This window comes from Homo sapiens, chromosome 16 (genome assembly GCF_000001405.40).
Source record: "Homo sapiens chromosome 16, GRCh38.p14 Primary Assembly".
In the NCBI taxonomy this organism is placed as follows: domain Eukaryota; kingdom Metazoa; phylum Chordata; class Mammalia; order Primates; family Hominidae; genus Homo; species Homo sapiens.
Genome location: NC_000016.10, coordinates 70,482,329 through 70,503,044, shown reverse-complemented (window position 1 = coordinate 70,503,044; position 20,716 = coordinate 70,482,329). Strand labels below are relative to the sequence as shown.

Here is a 20,716-nt window from a genome sequence, read left to right as displayed (position 1 = left end):
AGACCTCTTGGACTTCAGTGTGCAAAGGAAGTTAATTTTTTTATATTATGTGAGGTAGGGGTTCAACTTGATTCTTTTTCATGTGGATCTCAGTTGTCCTAGCACAATTTGATGAAAAGACCCTTCGTTGTTTATTGAATTGTCCTAGCGCTCATTGAAAATCAGTCAACCATCTGGACTCACAGTTCTGTTCCATTAATCCATATATCTATTCATATGCCAGTACCACATAGTCTTGATTGCTGTGGCTTTGTAGTTAGTTTTGAAATTAGAAAGTGGGATTCCTCCAACTTTGTATTTTTCAAGATTATTTTGGCTATTCATCAGGATAAATGAATGGGTGTAGGGCAGTTTAATGGTATTTCCTAACATCCTGCCAGGGCTAAATTAGAGATTGGAGAGTTTTCTTTCACATGAGACACTGATAATTTTTTTTTTTTTTTAAGACGGAGTTTCACTCTTGTTGCCCAGGCTGGAGTGCAATGGCGTGATCTCAGCTCACTGCAACCTCCGCCTCTCGGGTTCAAGCGACTCTCCCGCCTCAGCCTCCCTAGTAGCTGGGATCACAGGCATGTGCCACCATGCCTGGCTAATTTTGTATTTTTAGTGGAGACGGGGTTTCTCCATGTTTTGGTTAGGTTAGGCTGGTCTCGAACTCCCGACCTCAGGTGATCCGCCCACCTCAGCCTCCCAAAGTGCTGGGATTACAGGCGTGAGCCACTGCGCCCGGCCTCTTTTTTTTTTTTTTTTTTTTTTTTTTTTTTGAGACGGAGTCTTGCTGTGTCTCCAGGCTGGAGTGCAGTGGCGCGATCTTGGCTCACTGCAACCTCCGCCTCCCGGGTTCAAGCGATTCTCCTGCCTTGGCCTCCCGAGTAGCTGGGACTACAGGCATGCGCCACCACACCCAGCTAATTTTTGTATTTTTAGTAGAAATGGGGTTTCACCATGTTGGCCGGGATGGTCTCAATCTCTTGACCTCATGATCCGCCCGCCTCAGCCTCCCAAAGTGTTGGGATTACAGGCGTGAGCCACCATGCCTGGTCATAGGTAATCTTTATTCAAACCACAAAAGAGGCCAGGCACTGTAGCTCATGCCTGTAATCCCAGCACTTCAAGAGGCCAAGGCAGGAGGATCACTTGAGGCCAGGAGTTCGAGACTGGCCTAGCCAACATGGCAAAATCCCAATTCTACTAAAGATACAAAAATCTGAAAAAAAAAAAAAAAATCTGCCAGGTGGGGTGGCACACTCCTGTAATCCCAGCTACTCATGTGGCCAAGGCATGAGACTCACTTCAACCTAGAGGCGGAGGTTGCAGTGAGCCAAGATTGCACCACTGCACTCCAGCCTGGGCAACAGAGCAAGACTCTGTCTCAAAAAGAAAAGAAAATAGGCCGGGCGCAGTGGCTCACACCTGTAATTCCAGCACTTTGGGAGGTTGAGGCGGGCGGATCACGAGGTCAGGAGATCGAGACCATCCTCGCTAATACAGTGAAACCCCGTCTCTACTAAAAATACAAAAAATTAGCCGGGCATGGTGGTGGGCACCTGTAGTCCCAGCTACTCAGGAGGCTGAGGCAGGAGAAATGGCGTGAACCCAGGAGGCGGAGCTTGCAGGGAGCTGAGATCGAGCCACTGCACTCCAGCCTGGGCAACAGAGCAAGACTCCATCTCAAAAAAAAAAGTAAAGAAAAGAAGACACATCTCCCAACCTTTTATTTAGGTCTGGCAGAATTTTAGGGAGTGAATGATTTAGGTGAAGCAGGTAAATGGAAAATGTGATTGACAGCTATCTCTGATTCTAATTGGGCCAGCAGAGCTAGGAGGGCCATCTGGCAGAGCTTTTCCTTATGGGCCCAGTGGGGAGGGGGAATTTGGGACTCTCTTTGCCCTGTAGCTCTTGTGTCTAAGGTAATCCATTGTCGTCCTATTCCTTCTGCTCCATGTGTCTCAGAGAACTGGACCCCATCCTGACTGAGGTCACCCTGATGAATGCCCGCAGTGAGCTATACTTACGCTTCCTCAAGAAGAGGATTAGCTCTGATTTTGAGGTGGGAGACTCCATGGCCTCAGAGGAAGTAAAGCAAGGTAAAAACGTTTCCCATATTTTTGGGGAGGGTTGAGGTATAATTGGCAGTGTTTCTTAATAGTTAAGCCACAAATCTCTTATTAAGGAAACAATTGGAACTTATTAGCCCCTGGTGGTCTGTAGGCAAATTGACTCCCAGGAAGAAATCTAAATTTACTGGATTTTAGAATTGGACTAGATCTTTGAGGCCATCTAATCACTTTACAGATGAGGACACTGGTGCCCTGTTTTAAATTTTATGGGATATAAATTATACTTCAATGAAGTGTTCTTTTTTTGTTTTTAAAGAGTACATAGGCCAGGTACGGTGGCTCACATCTGTAATCCCAGCACTTTGGGAGACTGAGGCGGGTGGATTACCGGAGGTCAGGAGTTCGAGACCAGCCTGACCAATATGGTGAAACCCCATCTCTATTAAAAATACAAAAATTAGCTGAGCGTGGTGCAATACACCTGCAGTCCCAGCTACTCGGGAGGTTGAGACGGGAGAATTGCTTGAACCCTGGGGGGCATAGGGCCAAGATCACGCCACTGCACTCCAGCCTGGGTGACAGAGCCAGACTCTGTCTCAAAAAAAAAAAAAAAAAAAAAGAGTATATAATGTACAGGAATCCTCTCATCCCTCTCAGTCTCCCAGTTCCCCCAGTCACAATTTTTCAAGGAATAATTGACATTGATAAGAAAGGGGGCTGGGTGCAGTGGCTCACACCTGTAATCCCAACACTTTGGGAGGCTGAGGCAGGAGAATCGCTTGAGCTCAAGAGTTCAAGACCAGTCTGGGCAACATGACAAGACCCTGTCACTATATTAAAAGATAAAAATTTTGACTGGGTATGGTGGCTCACGCATAATCCCAAAACTTTGGGAGGCCGAGGAGGAAGGATGCTTGAGCCCAGGAGTTTGAGACCAGCCTGGTCAACATAGTGAAACCCCATCTCTAAAAAATTAAATTAAATTAAATTAAATAATAAAAGATAAACATTTAAAAAAATTTTTAGGTCGGGCGCGGTGGCTCACGCCTGTAATCCCAGCACTTTGGGAGGCCGAGGCAGGCGGATCACAAGGTCAGGAGATCAAGACCGTCCTGGCTAACGTGGTGAAACTCCGTCTCTACTAAAAATACAAAAAAATTAGCCGGGCGTGGTGGCGGGTGTCTGCAGTCCCAGCTACTCTGGAGGCTGAGGCAGGAGAATGGCGTGAACCCGGGAGGCGGAGCTTGCAGTGAGCCAAGATCGCGCCACTGCACTCCAGCCTGGGCGACAAGCGAGACTCTGTCTCAAAAATAAATAAATTGTTTAAAAGGCATGCCAGAGTCCAATTTCATTTACAGATTGACTCGCTAGGTTTTTAAGATGACCATTTAATTCCTGCTGGCTACTAAAGTAAGAATTAAAGGAAAAAAATTTAAAAAAATAAAAATCCTGCTGGGCAAATATATGCAGGGTTCTTTGGGCTGGGACTTGAGACCCACCCAGCATCTGTGGCATTCTGCATGGCTTGTGCCAATAATATGTGGCAGGGGCATTACAGAATCAGTGTATAAAGGAAATTGTGTGCTCATTTGGAGTTCGCTTGTCAATGTCAGTGATGACTATCACTTGATCTTAGCCAAAAGACTGAAAAGCAATAATGATGACTATCACTATTCAGAGCTGTGCTGCCCAATACGTAGCCATTCATGAATTCAAATTCAAATTCAAATTTAATTACAATTAAATAAAATTTTAAATTCATCTTTCTCAGCTGGATTCTGAGAAAAAAAAATTTAATAAAAAAAAAAATATTCAGTTCCTAAGTTATGTTCATCACATTTCAAGTGCTCAATCGCTAACATGGCTAATGGCTACTATATCAGATAACAGATACGGAATATTTTCTCTTTTCTTGTTGTTTGTTTATTTTTTGTAGAGACAGAGTATTGCTGTGTTGCCCAGGCTGGTCTCAAAACTCCTGGACCCAAGCGATCCTCGCGCCTTGGCCTCCCAAAGTGCTGGGATTACAGGTGTGAGCCACCACACCTGACCAGAATATTTTCATTATCACAGAAATTCTACTGGACAGTACTGGTGTAGAGAATGAAATATTCTATATCCAATATATTTTTATCTTTGCCATGGAAACTTACATCTTTTGACTCCTATTAATTAATCCTAAGGGAATAATGGAAAAGGAGTAAAAAGTTTTTCATACAAAAGTATTCACTATAATCTCCAATTATTGTGATATTCTGTTATCTCCAGTAATGGCAAAACATTTGGAAATAACCAGGTGTCTAAAAATAGAGTGGTTATTTTCTCAATTTCACATGAAACAACATGAAAGTTAAAAATAAGGCCGGGCATGGTGGCTCACGCCTGTAATCCCAGCAATTTGGGAGGCTGAGGCAGGCGGATCACCTAAGGTCAGGAGTTCAAGACCAACCTCAACATGGAGAAACCCTGTCTCTACTAAAAATACAAAATTTGCCGGGCGTGGTGGTGCATGCCTGTAATCCCAGCTACTCGGGAGGCTGAGGCAGGAGAATTGTTTGAACCTGGGAGGCAGGGGTTGCGGTGAGCCAAGATCACGCCATTGCACTCCAGCCTGGGCAACAAGAGTGAAACTCCGTCTCAAAAAAAAAAAATAGTTAAAAATAAAAAAAGTAGTTTTTAAAATGTGGATTATGCACCTGATGAAATGCCACATAGTCATGAAAAATAAGGTAGGTGAAAACATGGAAAATATTTATGATATACTTTTTTAAAACAGAATTCAAAATTGCTATCTGTATCATGATTGTAACGATGTAAAATATGTACATATTTCAAAGAAAGACTATAAAGGAACCTGAAAAAATGAAAAAAGTTGCTCTGTTTCCCTTGGGGAAAAAAAATGAGTATTCCTTTCTTGGCTGTCCCCTAGAGCACCAGAAGTGTCTGGACAAACTCCTCAATAACTGCCTTTTGAGCTGTACCATGCAGGAGCTAATTGGCTTATATGTTACCATGGAGGAGTACTTCATGAGGGAGACTGTCAATAAGGTAGGACATAGGACGCATCTCTTGGAAATGGGGCTTCCGGTCCAAGAAGCCAGGCTGAGGGAAATGGCTGAGGCATGTCATATTTATTGGTCCTGCTTTGAGAATACTCTTGCATGCAGATTGAGTGGTACCACTTTGTATGTTTAGAGAGCATCTTTGGAGTCGTTGTGTTCTTTGTATACCCAGCTAGGACTTCCTTCCCAAGAATTAAAAAAGAACAGCTCAGCTCAGCTCTTCAGGGAGCCCACTTGTTCCCTACCTCCCTGAAGGTTTGTGGGTAAGGAGCCTCAGGGAAGTAGGGCCCCTGCAGATATCTTACACTCCCCAGGTAATGGATCTCTGCAGGGCTAAGGCCCGAAATATTTAATTTGTTCACCTAGTGATCAATAGGGAAGTAAGCTATTTTGACAAGGAGGATGCACGCCATGTTGGGAGAAACATGGACAAGGTACAGAAAAGGGAGCAGAGCTAGGGCCAGTGTACCCAGAATCATCTAGAACATGACATGCACAACTGGGACCCTCAGTGTTGGCTTTGCCTTTTGGGTAGGCTGTGGCTCTGGACACCTATGAGAAGGGCCAGCTGACATCCAGCATGGTGGATGATGTCTTCTACATTGTTAAGAAGTGCATTGGGCGGGCTCTGTCCAGCTCCAGCATTGACTGTCTCTGTGCCATGATCAACCTCGCCACCACAGAGCTGGAGTCTGACTTCAGGTACAGTTGACTCCCTTTCTCCTTTCTAGGCAGAAAGGCCCTTCCTGTTGATTCCTGAGGCCCATTTGTTTCTGCCCTTTGTCCTCATGATTCTAGTTAAGTTCTATACAGGACATCAGCTCCTATCCCTAAGATAGTATCCTTGGCTCCAGGAAGCTGTTGGTCAGCCATATATCTCATGGGCCAAATTTCTGTTCCCTGGACTAGACTGAAGGAGCTATGGGCCCTTAGACGTAGGAAAGAGAACAGGCAGTTCAGATGAATAATACCACCAATAGGTACCATTGCTACAGGCCCAGCACTATGCTAATCTCCTGCGCTTTTGAGGTCCTAATAACAACCCTATGAAGTAGGAACTGTTAGCTCTGTTTTATAGATGAAGAAACTGTGCTTTAGGGAGATTCCGTCCTCGTCAAAGATCCACCACTTAGGAGTCAGTGGTGGAATCCAGAACTGAGTGACTCAAAACCTGTTCTCAACTCCTACATGGTACTGCGTTCACTAAGCCGCACAGCTTTGTTGGGAGTGCAGTGGTGATGGCTAAAAGCCTCATGAACAGTAGAGATTGGCCAGTCTCCCCTGTATGTTCTTGTCACATCAGTGTCCTTGACGGGGTGCTGGTTACTTTCATACCCTGGCTCCTCAGGTCTCCTACAGTGGTCTTAAGGACTGGTTATTCCCCCTAAAAGAGCACCTTGTGCTGCTGGGTCAGAGTGGTGAAGACTGGCCCTTCTGTCCTGGTGGCCAAGTTGAGCACTGTCAATTCCTCTATGCAATCCTGCCCCCCAGGGATGTTCTGTGTAATAAGCTGCGGATGGGCTTTCCTGCCACCACCTTCCAGGACATCCAGCGCGGGGTGACAAGTGCCGTGAACATCATGCACAGCAGCCTCCAGCAAGGCAAATTTGACACAAAAGGCATCGAGAGTACTGACGAGGCGAAGATGTCCTTCCTGGTAGGTACCCCACAGCTCACGAGCTGGGTTGGTTTATCTCGAGAGGTTACGCTATCACTGCTAAGCCACAGTATAATTGGCCTCTAGCTAGAGACTTTTCCTCCAGTGTCTATATAGAAGGAAAATTCCTCCTTTAAGGGAATTTCCTCCCAGAAGGTTCTGAAACTATTTCTTACTCAGGGACATATTCTGAGTCACCTGAGCCACGATAGAGGCTGGGCTGTCCAGCTGTCACCTAGAATTCATTCCCCAGAGCACTGGCCAGCTGCTCAGGAGCCCACTGAGTGCCAAGCTTGGCTTGCATCTGCCACAGAACCAGCTCTACCATCTGTGCCAGACCACCAGACTGCTTCTCTGAGGAGAGGCCCGCAGCATGGGCAGGCGCCAGTCCTTCGGGCCTGCCATCACTGCTCTGCTAGTACATGTCTTAGGCTTTCAACTTCCTCTGGAAAGGAGGCTTTATTAAAGCCCTTTGCTACCCAGAATGACAGATGTGATAAAGCAGCAAGCCTTCCATTGTGTGACAGCTTGGAAAGGAGGAGCACAGAAGGATGAAAGGATTTGTACAAAGCAACAACCAGTTTGTGATGAGCCAGAAAGACCACAGATGAATCCTAAGCTCAAGATCAGGCCTCTCTGGCACACGCTGTCTTAGCACGCATGGGAGTAGCACAGTCCGAGGTCCATTCTGCTCCATCCCCCACATTGGCCGCACCCTGAGTCTTGACTCCTGAGGCTCAGAGCCTGAAAGAAACATCTAGTAGCATCTGTAGCCCACAAGTGGGGTTGGACGCAAAAATGTTCACATGCATTTTTGGGTCACAGGGTCCTTCCTTAGCTTTTATCAGATTCTTTTTTTTTTTTTTTTGAGATGGAGTCTTGCTCTTGTTCCCCAGGCTGGAGTGCAATGGCATGACCTTGGCTCACTGCAACCTCCGCCTCACAGGTTCAAGCGATTCTCCTGCTTTAGCCTCCCGAGTAGCTGGGATTACAGGCATGCGCCACCATACCTGGCTAATTTTTTTTTTTTTTTTTTTAGTAAAGACTGGGTTTTGCCATGTTGGCCAGGCTGGTCTCGAACTTCTGACCTCAAGTGATCCACCCGTCTTGGCCTCCCAAAGTGTTGGGATTACAGGCATGAGCTACCGTGCCTGGTTATCATATTCTTAAAAGGATCTGTGACCCCCAAAAGAGTTCAGAGCTGTTACTTGCAGAGAGAGAAGCCTAAACTTGCTAATATCTACCAAGCCCTGTGCAGAGGAACCCATAGTAACTAGTTATGAGACAGATCCAATGTGAAAGCTGTTTAGGCAGCCCCACTCTCTTCCTGTCATAGAAAATATTTGCCCTGTGTATGGTTTCTGTCAATCTAGGATATCATGGTTGCTGCCAAAAAAAGATCAGATCCAAAAAACTGTTGCCTGTGAAAGTTGTTACCTTTGGAGAACTTTGCCAAAATGCCCAGCAACCAGCATCACATCATGAACCAACTTAAATTTTTATTTTGTTTGTGATTTTTTTTACAGAACTTACTTTCATTTCTGTGCTCAGAAATAATCATTGGCTGCTTGCTGCCTACCACATCAAAGCTAGATGTCTTTGTTTAAGCCTCCTAACTCTAACCCATACCACCTTTCCAGTTCCGTTTTCCACCACTTGACTACATGTCTCCAAAACCGGCCAGTGCATATTCGCTCTGTGAGGACCTCCCATTAACACAGTTTCATTGTTTGAGGCCCCAGAAGATAAGACCAAAAAGAGAGGCGATGCTAAATGCTTGGTGACAGGTTTCTGGTTTTCCTGACACCAAGTATTTAAAATGTCATCACTCCCATTGCAGGGCCTATTTTTTATGTCACCTTGATTCATTTGGCTGTCTAGATGAATTCTCCAAATTTACTGACATCATGCACTGTGGGCAGGGAATAAACCCAGTGAATCCACGCTTACTAGGGCTGTCAGTACAGGGGAAACTTTGAAATCAATACCATTTGAACTCAAATCCAGAAGTCCTCATGACAGTTATTCTTGGTGCTCTTAAATGCCTTGGAAACACTTATGGCCTTCATCCTTCAGCTGTCAGGACAGGACAGTTATTTGGAAACTTGTGACATTAGAGGCCTCATGTTGTGGCATATTAAAGAAAGACCTTTAGGCTTATCTGTCCACAATCAGAGTGGCCTAAGCAGCACTGTCAGCATCATGACTTTCAGCACTGGCTGCAGGACACCGACAAGGGAAGCACTCTGGGCAAGATGAGAGGGACTTCCTAATCACAGCCCCTGGGGTTCTGAGATCCTCCTTTTACCCTGAAATCCTGAAGCTCCTGACTCATGTCTCGAAGACTGGCTCCTCCTTACCTCACCCCTGCCTTCCTCATCATGCCACCAGCAGACCAGTTTACAGGCAGTGGGATCCCCAGGCCCTCTATTTCCTCCCTCCCACGGCCTCTAGATGAGTATTCCTGAACCACAGCTGTGCTCATGTGGCATTCACCTGCTTTAAAAATCCTCAGTGCCAGCCCACTGTCCACAGGTCACAGGGCTAACTCTGCAGCAGAGCACCCAAGTCCCCGTCAGTCTCTGCCCCTCGCAGCTCTACCTCCTGCCACTTCCCTGCACGTGTCTGTGAACTGACTCTGCTATTTCTCAAATACCTTTTTGGGTTTTGTGCCATTCTGCACTTGCTTATATTATCCCCTTTCCAGAATATGTTCATTCACTCTCTTACTCATTGCACAAATATTTATTGAGAAACTTCTAAATATCAGGCACTGTTCTGGGTTCTAGAGCTACACTGCCCAACATGGTAGTCACCAGCCACAGGTGGCTATTGAAATTTACATTTAAATTAAAAATCCACTTCCTGAGTTGTACTAGCTATGCTTCAGGTGCTCAATAGCCACACATGGCTGAGGGCTACCATACCAGACAGTGCAGTTAGAATATTTCCATCAAGCAGAAAGGTAGACAGTGCTGTATAGAGACGCAGTGGTGAAGAAAACAGGCTAGATCCATGCAGACAAGAAATAGATAAACCAGAGAATGTCAGGAAATCCTAAGGACCATTAAGAAAATATCAAATAGGACAGTGAGCTGGAGAGAGGCTGCTGGGGGTGGAGAAATGTTCTCACCTTCATCTCCTGTCAGAATTATGTTCTACCCTTTTATGTTCAGCTCAGCTACCAACCCTGTCATGGAACCTTCCTTGAATGCCTTACACCGAAACAGTTTGTTCTTTCCTCTGAATGGCCAGAGCAATTAGTGCCTTAATAATTTTGCCCCATGCTACTTTTTTTTTTGGAGATGGAGTTTCGTTCTTGTTGCCCCAGCTGGGGTGCAATGGCGCGATCTTGGCTCACTGCAACCTCCGCCTCATAGGTTCAAGCGATTCTCCTGCCTCAGCCCCCCAAGTAGCTGGGATTACAGGCACCTGCCACCACACCCGACTAATTTTTGTATTTTTAGTAGAGACGGGGTTTTGCCATGTTGGCCAGGATGGTCTCGAACTCCTGACCTCAGGTGATCCACCCGTCTCAGCCTCCCAAAGTGCTGGGATTACAGGTGTGAGCCACCGTGCCCATGCTACCTTTTTTTTTTTTTTTGAGACGGAGTTTTGCTGTTGTTGCACAGGCTGGAGTGCAATGGCGCGATCTTGGCTCACTGCAACCTCTGCCCGCTGGGTTCAAGTGATTCTTCTGTCTCAGCCTCCCAAGTAGCTGGGATTACAGGCATGCACCACCACGCCCGGCTAATTTTGTATTTTTTTTAGTAGAGACGGGGTTTCTCCATGTTGGTCAGGCTAGTCCCGAACTCCCAACCTCAGGTGATCTGCCCGCATCGGCCTCCCAAACTGCTGTGATTACAGGCATGAGCCACTGCGCCTGGCCTCCATGCTACTTTTATCATTGGTATTTCTGCACCTAGTCTGTAAGACAGTCGTGTTATGAAAAAAGTCATCTTTGGACCAGAGTAGGGAGACCTGAATTCATTTTTTTAGTTTATTTGTTTATTATAAAGGATATTATATAGGATACAGATGAAGAGATGAATAGGGCAAATTATGGGGGAAGGGGTATGGAGCTTCCATGCCCTCCCCAGGTGGCCACTGTCCAGGAACCTCCACCTGTTTATCCATCTGGAAGCTCAGAGACCCGAATTCTAAGCCTGGCTCCAGCTTTGTGGCCTTGTCACTCTGAGTGTCTGTCCCTTTTCCTGCTTTATTATTCTTCCTGGCATTATATAATGCATTTGTTTACTATCTGGCTTCCCTTCTGGAATGTCAGCTCTGTGAGGAGTGGACCATGTCTTTTTTGTTAATTGCTTTCTCTCAGTGCCTAGAACTGTGCCTGGCACATCCAGGTGCTCAGTAAATATTTGCTGAATCAGTTGCTGTCAGACCTTCGTGAATCATTTTACTTTTTTTTTTTTTTTTTTTTTTTGAGACGTAGTTTTGTTCTTGTCACCGAGGCTAGAGTGCAGTGGCGTGATCTCAGCTCACTGCAACCTACGCCTCCCAAGTTCAAGCAATTCTCCTGCCTCAGCCTCCCGAGTAGCTGGGATTACAGGCACCCGCCACCACGCCTGGCTAATTTTTTGTATTTTTAGTAGAGACGGGGTTTCGCCATGTTGGGCAGGCTGGTCTCAAACTCCTGACCTCTTGATCCACCTGCTTCGGCCTCCCAAAGTGCTGGGATTACAGGCATGAGCTACCCTGCCCCAGCTTTTTTTTTTTTTTTTTTTTTTGAGACAGAGTCTTGCTCTGTCATACAGGCTGGAGTGCAGTGACACAATTTCAGCTCACTGCAACCTCTCATCTCCCAGGTTCAAGCGATTCTCCTGCCTCAGCCTCCTGGTAGCTGGGTCTACAGATGTGCACCACCACGCCTGGCTAATTTTTTTGTGTGTATTTTTATTAGAGACAGGGTTTCACCATGTTGGCCAGGCTGTTCTTGAACTCCTGACCTCAGGTGATCCACCCGCCTTGGCCTTCCAAAGTGCTGGGATTACAGGCGTGAGCCACCGTGCCTGGCCAAATCATTTTACCTTCTGAGGAGTCTCATTTCCTCCCGTGCACTGGGCTTGATAATACGTGTTCTATGGGGGTATTTAGCAGACTCCATGAGATAAAGAATGAGAAAATACCTCATAGGTGGCAGGCTCTCTGGAAGCTTTTCTTTAATGAATGTCAGGCTTTGTATCACTGACCTGGGGCTTGACCGTTTGGAGCCTCAGAACTTATCCTGGACCTGTATGCCTGAGTCATTTCTGCTCTGTAGGTAACACAGTACAAGAAGACCTGAAACCTCGCCGGGCGCAGTGGCTCACGCCTGTAATCCCAGCACTTTGGGAGGCCGAGGTGGGCAGATCATGAGGTCAGGAGATCAAGACCATCCTGGCTAACATGGTGAAACCCCGTCTCTACTAAAAATACAAAAAATTAGCCTGGCGTAGTGGCGGGCGCCTGTTGTCCCAGCTACTCGGGTGGCTGAGGCAGGAGAATGGCATGAACCCGGGAGGCAGAGCTTGCAGTCCAGCCTGGGTGACAGAGCCAGACTCCATCTCAAAAAAACAAAAAAACAAACAAAAAAAGAAGACCTGAAACCTGAGCTCACTACCTCTGAGGTCCTGATAGCTTTAGGCTCCCTGTCATCAGGCACAGAAGAAAGGGCGAGCCTGCTTCCCCATTCTGCCCAATCCAAGATCTGAGCGTCCTGCTCAGATGTAGCAGTGTGGGTTTTCATTAGCGCAAGTCTGAACTCCAGCCAGCCCTTCTCTGAGCTTCATGGAGCACAGCTGTCAGCCAGTCTGGCATTGGAGTGGGTGGCAGGCACAGTCAGCAGGAAGTCACGTTCTTCCTTCCTCATCTCCCAGGTGACTCTGAACAACGTGGAAGTCTGCAGTGAAAACATCTCCACTCTGAAGAAGACACTGGAGGTACGAGGGAAATTGCCTATCAGTGGTCAGCAGCCATCTTTTCCCATGTTGAGATAGAGCCCTATACAAACATCATGGTGAAGACACTTATCTTGGTGACATTGAGCCACACTTGAGGGGATTCTTTGGTGACTGACATGATAGCAAGGCATCCTTGGACCAGGGAGAAAAGCTCAGGAGTTGGAAGATCAGAATTCAAATTAGATCTTCCAGGCAAGGCACGGTGGCACATTCCTGTAATCCCAGCACTTTCGGAGGCCAAGGCGGGTGGATCACTTGAGGTCAGGAGTTCGAGACCAGCCTAGCCAACATGGCGAAACCCCATCTCTACTAAAAATACAAAAATTAGCTGGGCATGGTGGCAGACACCTGTAATCCCAGCTGCTTGGGAAACTGAGGCAGGAGAATCACTTGAACCCGGGAGGCAGAGGTTGCAGTGAGCTGAGATCGTGCCACTGCACTCCAGCCTGGGCGACAGAGCAGACTCTATCTCAAAATAACACACAAATTAGATCTTCCAGCACATAGTTGGCGTGTGACCTTGGACAAGTCCCTTAGCCCTCTGAGCCTCAGTCCTCTCATCTACGAAATGAGATGCATAGCTCCATCCAGCCCTAGCTTGTGTTTCTTGGGTAGCCTAATGAAAAAACAGGATTGAGGCCAAGTGGCTCATACCTGTAAGCTTAACATTTTGGGAGGCCAAGGCAGGAGGATTACTTGAGGCCAGGAGTTTGAGACCAGCCTGGGCAATGTGGTGAGACCTCATCTCTACAAAAAAAAAAAAAACTTTTTTTTTTTTTAAATCAGGATCAAGGCCAGGTGAGGTGGCTCATGCCTGTAATCCTAACACTTTGGGAGGCTGAGGCGGGTGGATCATGAGGTCAGGACTTCAAGACCAGCCTGGCCAAGATGGTGAAACCCCATCTCTACTAAAAATACAAAAAATGAGCCAGCCATGGTGGCAGGCGCCTGTAATCCCAGCTACTCGGGAGGCTGAGGCAGAGAACTGCTTGAACCTGGGAGGCAGAGGTTGCAGTGAGCCGAGATCACGCCACTGCACTCCAGCCTGGGCGACAGAGGGAGATTCTGTCTCAAAAAAAAAAAAAAAATCAGGATCAAAAGCACCTTATAAAAATGACAAATCCCTGTATAAATGTAGGAGATTAAGATAAGGTTTGCCTAATCCTATACAAAGCTAGTAGCTGTTATTTTTAGAGGAAGGAAGCAGAGTATAGTGGAAATTGCTTGGGCTTTGAAGCCAGATACCCCAAGTTCAAATCTTCACTTGACCACTGCCCAGCTGTGTGACCTTAGGCAAAAGTTCTGTAACCTCAGTCTTGTCATTCATAAAGCAGGGATAATGACCTCTGTGCCACATGACTGTTATGAGAGGAATGTGGTAATATGAACCACTTAGTACATGAGAGGCATGCAGTGGTACTTATTAGTTGTATTAACAGTTAAAAATAACAGTAGCTGGGCCGGGTGTGGTGGCTCATGCCTATAATCCCAGCACTTTGGGAGGCCGAGGCAGGTGGATCACCTGAGGTCAGGAATTCGAGACCGGTCTGGCCAACATGATGAAACCCTGTCTCTACTAAAAATACAAAAAAAATTAGCTGGGTGTGGTGGCATGTGCCCATAATCCCAGCTACTCGGGAGGCTGAGGCAGGAGAATTGTTTGAACCCCGGAGGTGGAGGTTGCAGTGAGCCGAGATTGCGTCACTGCACTCCAGCCTGGGCAACAAGAGCGAAACTCCATCTCAAAATAACAATAGCTGGGTGGCTCGTGCCTGTAGTCTCAGCTACTTGGGACCCTGAGTCAGGAGGATTGCTTGAGGCCAGGAGTTCGAGGCCAGCCTGGGCAACATAATGAGACCCCATCACTTAAAAAGCAATAATAGGCTGGGCGCAGTGGCTCACGCCTATAATCCCAGCACTTTGGGAGGCCAAGGCAGGTGGATCACAAGATCAGGCATTCAAGCCTGGCCAAGATGGTGAAGTCCTGTCTCTACTAAAAATACAAAAATTAGCTGGGCATGGTGGCGGGCGCCTGTAATACCAGCTACTCAGGAGGCTGAGGCAGGAGAATTGCTTGAACCCAGGAGGCGGAGGTTGCAGTGAGTCGAGATCACGCCACTTCACTCTAGCCTGGGCAACAGAGAAAGACTCCATCTCAAAAGAAAAAAAAAAGGTAAAAATAATAGCCAGGTGTGGTGGCTCACACCTATAACCCCAGCACTTTGGGATGCCAAGGCGGGAGGATTACCTGAGGTCAGGAGTTTGAGACCAGCCTGGCAAACATAGTGAAACCCCATCTCTACTAAAAATACAAAAATTAGCCGGTTGTGGTGGTGCACACCTGTAATCCTGGCTACTCAGGAAGCTGAGACAGGAGAATCGCTTGAACCTGGGAGGCAGAGGTTGCAGCAAGCCGAGATCGTGCACCTGCACTCCAGCCTAGGCAACAGAGTAAGACTCCGTCTCAAAAAAACATAAAAAAAAAAGTAAAAATAGTAAAAATAAATTTAAAATTAACAAAATAAAAATAACAGCATGGAGGGATCACTTTGTGAACTATTGGAAAATGAGGGGGGCCCAGTTCTTCCCCACTCCCAAACTCAGCCTCTGGGAAAGAAGTGAGGCCAGGGCCCTGCCTCCACAGTGAACACTTGTACAACATAACATAGTATCTGTCACATCGTATGTGTTCAACAAGTTGGCTGTCATCATTGTTGGTTTTTTTTTGAGACGGAGTCTCGCTCTGTCGCCCAGGCTAGAGTGCAATGGCGCGATCTCAGCTCACTGCAACTTCTGTGATTCTCCTGCCTCAGGCTCTGGAGTAGCTGGGATTATAAGCACCTGCCACCACGCCCAGCTAATTTTTGTATTTTTAGTAGGGATGGGGTTTTGCCATGTTGGCCAGGCTGGTCTCGAACTCCTGGCCTCAAGTGATCCACCCGCCTTGGCATCCCGAAGTGCTGGGATTACAGGCATGAACCACCTCGCCTGGCCTTGTCTTTTTTTTTTTTTATTTTTATTTTTTTATTTTTTGAGACCGATTCTCACTCTGTTGCCCAGGCTGTAGTGCAGTGGCATGATCTTGGCTCACTGCAACCTCTGCGATTCTCCTGCCTCAGCTTCCTAAGTTGCTGGGATTACAGGCACCTGACACCATGCCCAGCTGATTTTTGTATTTTTAGTAGAAACGAGGTTTCACCATGCTGTCTAGGCTGGTCTCAAATTCCCGACCTCAGGCGATCCGCCCACCTCAGCCTCCCATAGTGCTGGGATTACAGGTGTGAGCCACCATGCCTGACTTTTTTTTTTTTTTGAGATGAAGTTTCGCTCTTGTTGCCCAGGCTGGAGTGCAGTGGCGCAGTCTCGGCTTACTGCAACCTCCACCTCCCGGATTCAAGCGATTCTCCTGCCTCAGCTCCCAAGTAGCTGAGACTACAGGTGTGCGCCACCACACCTAGCTAATTTTTGTATTTTTTAGTAGAGACAGGGTTTCACCATTTTGGCCAGGATGGTCTTGATCTCTTCACCTCGTGATCTGCCCGCCTCGGCCTCCCAAAGTGCTGGGATTACAGGCGTGAGCCACGGCGCCCGGCCGACATCATTGTTTGTAAGTCATGGCACTTTAGACTATTTCTGACCTCATCCTTAACATGAGTCTGTTGGGTTTTGGAAGTAAAATTTGGGGAAATATTAGAAATTCATAAGTGAGCTGGTAGAATTAGCCAAGTAAAATAGCTGAAAAACCTATTCCCGTAAATCCCAGCTGCCCTTAGATTTGCATTTCACAGATGTTCTTTCTTAGCCCCATCAGCAGCCCTTTGAGATAGGCAGATCAGGTGGCATGACGTTCAGCTTACAGGGAAGGTTACAAGACTACTCAAAGACAGTAAGTGTCAGGAATACTGTGGGAGTGAAGGGCCTTTGTCTGCTAGGAGAGTCCCTCTTAGTTCTTCCACTCTGCTTCCCCTCTGGAGCCAAAACAGCATGAACTTTCTAAGAAGGCTACGAGCAATGCGGCAGCTCCTGGCAACCCAAAACATGAGTTTCAGGCAGTTCCCCCTGGAGAGGTCTCTACACCTACGCTGTAGTGTGGTGATTAGAAACAGGCATTCTGGGCTGGGCGCGGTGGCTCACGCCTGTAATCCTAGCACTTTGGGAGGCCAAGGCGGGCGGATCACAAGGTCAGGAGATCGAGACCATCCTGGCTAACACGGTGAAACCCCATCTCTACTAAAAATACAAAAAATTAGCAGAGCGTGGTGGTGGGCGCCTGTAGTCCCAGCTACTTGGGAGACTGAGGCAGGAGAATGGCGTGAACCCAGGAGGCGGAGCTTGCAGTGAACCGAGATCAAGCCACTGCACTCCAGCCTGGGTTATAGAGCAAGACTCCGTCTCAAAAGAAAAAAAAAAAGACAGGCATTCTGGGCCGTACACGGTGGTTCACGCCTGTAATCTCAGCACTTTGGGAGGCTCAGGCGGGCAGATCACCTGCAGTCAGGAGTTCAAGACCAGCCTGGCCAACATGGTGAAACCCCATCTCTACAAAAATACAATAATTAGCTGGGCATGATGGTGGGTGCCCGTAATCCCAGCTACTCCGGAGGCTGAGGTGGGAGAGTCACTTGAACCCGGGAGACAGAGGTTGCAGTCAGCCAAGATCATGTCGTTGCACTCCAGCCTGGGTGACACAGCAAGACTCTGTCTCAAAAAAAAAAAAAAAACAAAAAAAACAGGATTTTTGGAGTCAGAATACCTGGCCTAGAGTCCCAGCTCCATGATTTATCTATGTTAAAAGACAGGGTCTCTGCCAGGCGCGATGGCTCACACCTGTAAATCCAGCACTTTGGGAGGCTGAGGCGGGTGGATCACCTGAGGTCAGGAGTTCGAGACCAGCCTGGCCAACATGGTGAAACCCTGTCTCTACTAAAAATAGAAAAATTAGTTGGGTGTGGTGGCAGGCGCCTGTAGTCCCAGCTACTCGGGAGGCTGAGGCACGAGAATCGCTTGAACCCAGGAGGCGGAGGTTGCAGTGAGCCGAGATCATGCCACTGCACTCCAGCCAGGGCGACAGAGTGAGACTGTCTCAAAAAAAAAAAAAAAAAAGAGAGACAGGGTCTCACTTTGTTGCCCAGGCTGGTCTTGAACTCCTGGGCTCCAGCAATCCTCCTACCTTGGCCTCACAAAGTCCTAGGATTACAATAGTGAGCCACCATGCTCAGCCTTTCCTGACTTATTGCCATGGCTTTGAATAAATTATTAACTTCTGTGCCTCAGTTTTCTCATCTGTACAATGGGGATAATAATTTTACCTATTTCATAAAGGAGATACTTTTTTTTATGAAGGTCAAAGTAACTTACAATAGTTGTGGGGGTTTTTTGGTTTTCATTTTGTTTTGTTTTTAAGTAGAATAGGTACTTTGTTCTCACTCTGCTGCCCGGGCTGGAGTGCAGTGGCAGTCATAGCTCTCTGCAACCTTGAACCCTTGGGCTCAAGGGATCCTCTCGCCTCAGCCTCCTGAGTAGCTAGGGATGCAGGGGCGCACCACTACATCCAGCTAATTCTTTAATTTTCTGTGGAGACGGCTTCTCACTATGTTTCCCTGCTGTTCTTAAACTCTGGCCGCAAGTGGTCCTTGCACCTTGGCCTCCCAAAGTGCTAGAATTACCCGCATGAGCCACCTCGCCCAGCCTGGTACTTTAATAAAAGTGAAATGCTTAGAACAAAGCCAGGTATACAGTACGCCCTTAAACCTTAGCTATGATCTTGACCATCCCCTTTGGTAGCCATACCAAAATATTTAAGAAGCAGAAACTGACTTTTGTGGTTTTTTGGTAAATTTAAATAAAATTTAAGAAGAAGTAAATAAATATAAAAGGGGGGGAAAGGAGGAACTATAGCAATAATAGCTAGTGTCTCCTGTGCCAGGCATTGAGCTAGGCACGTTGTGCTTCATCTCATACATGAGGAGCAGGAATTGGTGTTCCCATTTTATAGACAGGAAAATTGAAGCTCAGAAACTTTAAATCATTTGCCCAAGGTCACTCAACTAATACATGACTGAGCCAGGACTTGAACCTAGGAATGTCTGACTCTAAAGACAGGAAAAACTTTCTGGTATTTCTGTTTCTTACTCACTTCCCCGACATTGGTACCCCCATATTACAGAGGGGGAAGTGGGAGCCAAGTGGATAACCACCAGGATAGAATCCAGGTTTTCTGAAACCCATCCGGGCTCTTGACAGGCCATAGCTGGCTGGAGGAGTAGAACTGGCTGGTGGCTCCTCACACTCCCATGGCCCACGCGTGCTCGGTGGTCTTACAGCAGTGTTCTCCCCTAGAGTGACTGCACCAAGCTCTTCAGCCAGGGCATTGGAGGGGAGCAGGCCCAGGCCAAGTTTGACAGCTGCCTTTCTGACTTGGCCGCCGTGTCCAACAAATTCCGAGACCTCTTGCAGGTAAGCCCCAGGTTCAACTGCTGACTGAATCCTGTGCCTGTGTGTTGCTCTGAGAAGATTGTTAGCTGGCTCATCGTGTGCAAGGAAGCCAGGAGGACGGGTGAGGGAGCAGCACGCAAGCCCTGGAGCCTGGAGTTGTGCAGGTCCCTTGAGACTAAAGGCCCTGTTGGTTTCTCAGCAGTGAAGTTGTCACACTGACAAGCCAACATCTGGTGCTCTAGACTTTGCACTTGGCCCCACAATGACAAGAGCTCTCAGAAGATGCTCAGAGGAAGTGGAGCCACATGGTTGTTCTGACCTAGCCGCAGGTGCTGCCTAACATTGAGCATTCTGAAATCTCTTGTGAGAGTTTATCAGAACAGTCTCAAGGCCTCATCGTTACCCTGGACCTGAATCAGCTGAGATCTGGAAAGGGGCATGTTCCTGGCTCCTCCTTTCATTAGCACTAGCTCTGTTATAACCTCCAACAGGGCCTGCAGAAAGCCTCAGGGCTGGAAGAACGCCCTGCAGTCAAGGGATGGGGAGAGGAGAGAGGGAAGGGATGGGGAGAGGAGAGGAGGATGGGGTGGGGAGAGGAGAGAAGGAAGGGATGGGGAGAGGAGAAGGGGATGCGGTGGGGAGAGGAGAGAGGGAAGGGGTGGGGAGATGAGAGGGATGGGGTGGGGAGAGGAGAGAGGGAAGGGGTGGGGAGAGGAGAGAGGGAAGGGGTGGGGAGACGAGAGAGGGATGTGGTGGGGAGAGGAGAGAGGGATGGGGTAGGGAGAAAAGAGGGATGGGGTGGGGAGAAGAGAGGGAAGGAGTGGGGAGAGGAGAGGGAAGGGGTGGGGAGAGGAGAGGGAAGGGGTAGGGAGAGGAGAGGGAAGGGGTGGGGAGAGGAGAGAAGGAAGAAATGGGGAGAGGAGAGAAGGAAGGGATGGGGAGAGGAGAGGAAAGGGATGGGGAGAGGATAGAGGGAAGGGATGGGGAGAAGAGAGAGGGAAGGGATGAGTCGTGCCTTCTGTGTCACATGTCTCCACCTTGTCCTTGTGCAGGAAGGGCTGACGGAGCTCAACAGCACAGCCATCAAGCCACAGGTGCAGCCTTGGATCAACAGCTTTTTCTCCGTCTCCCACAACATCGAGGAGGTTAGCCTGGCCACAGGCAGCCATCAAGCCCCGATGACCCCTCATCCCTAGCCCCAGCTAGAGGGAGCAGAGCCATCTGAACAGACTAGACCTTCCATGCTTCCCAGGCCCACTTCCCCCACCCTGACCCATGAAGACTAGGTTCCTCCCAGGAAACAGTTTGTCCCTAGTCAGAAGGGCTCAGAAAGACATGGAGTTTGCCTTGACCTAACTTATTCCCTTATTGGAGCTCTTTTTGCCCCGCCTATGATAGACTTAGAAGCGTTTTTTTCCTCCTGGCGTAGTGATTTCATTCCTGTAGAACAAGAGATCCAAGAAGGAATAAAATGCCAGGAACTTTACCATGTTATGTGGGCCACTGCTACAGCCCTGGGCTGTTTGCTGGTCAGTTTCTGCCAGC

General features: G+C 47.7%; 1 protein-coding gene across 4 annotated transcripts in view; it reads left to right on the top strand.

Annotated features, from left to right (window-relative positions):
* Positions 1-20,716, top strand: part of COG4 (component of oligomeric golgi complex 4) — a 42,988-nt gene that overhangs the window by 20,510 nt on the left and 1,762 nt on the right. For 2 of the 4 annotated variants that reach the window (NM_001365426.1, NM_015386.3), the window contains 7 exons: positions 1,954-2,087; positions 4,990-5,108; positions 5,658-5,824; positions 6,614-6,779; positions 12,653-12,715; positions 19,076-19,192; positions 20,224-20,316. In NM_001365426.1, the coding sequence (NP_001352355.1) occupies positions 1,954-2,087; positions 4,990-5,108; positions 5,658-5,824; positions 6,614-6,779; positions 12,653-12,715; positions 19,076-19,192; positions 20,224-20,316 (859 nt within the window). The remainder of the gene's footprint in view (positions 1-1,953; positions 2,088-4,989; positions 5,109-5,657; positions 5,825-6,613; positions 6,780-12,652; positions 12,716-19,075; positions 19,193-20,223; positions 20,317-20,716) is intronic. The other 2 variants (NR_158212.1, NM_001195139.2) reach the window with 2 other exon arrangements.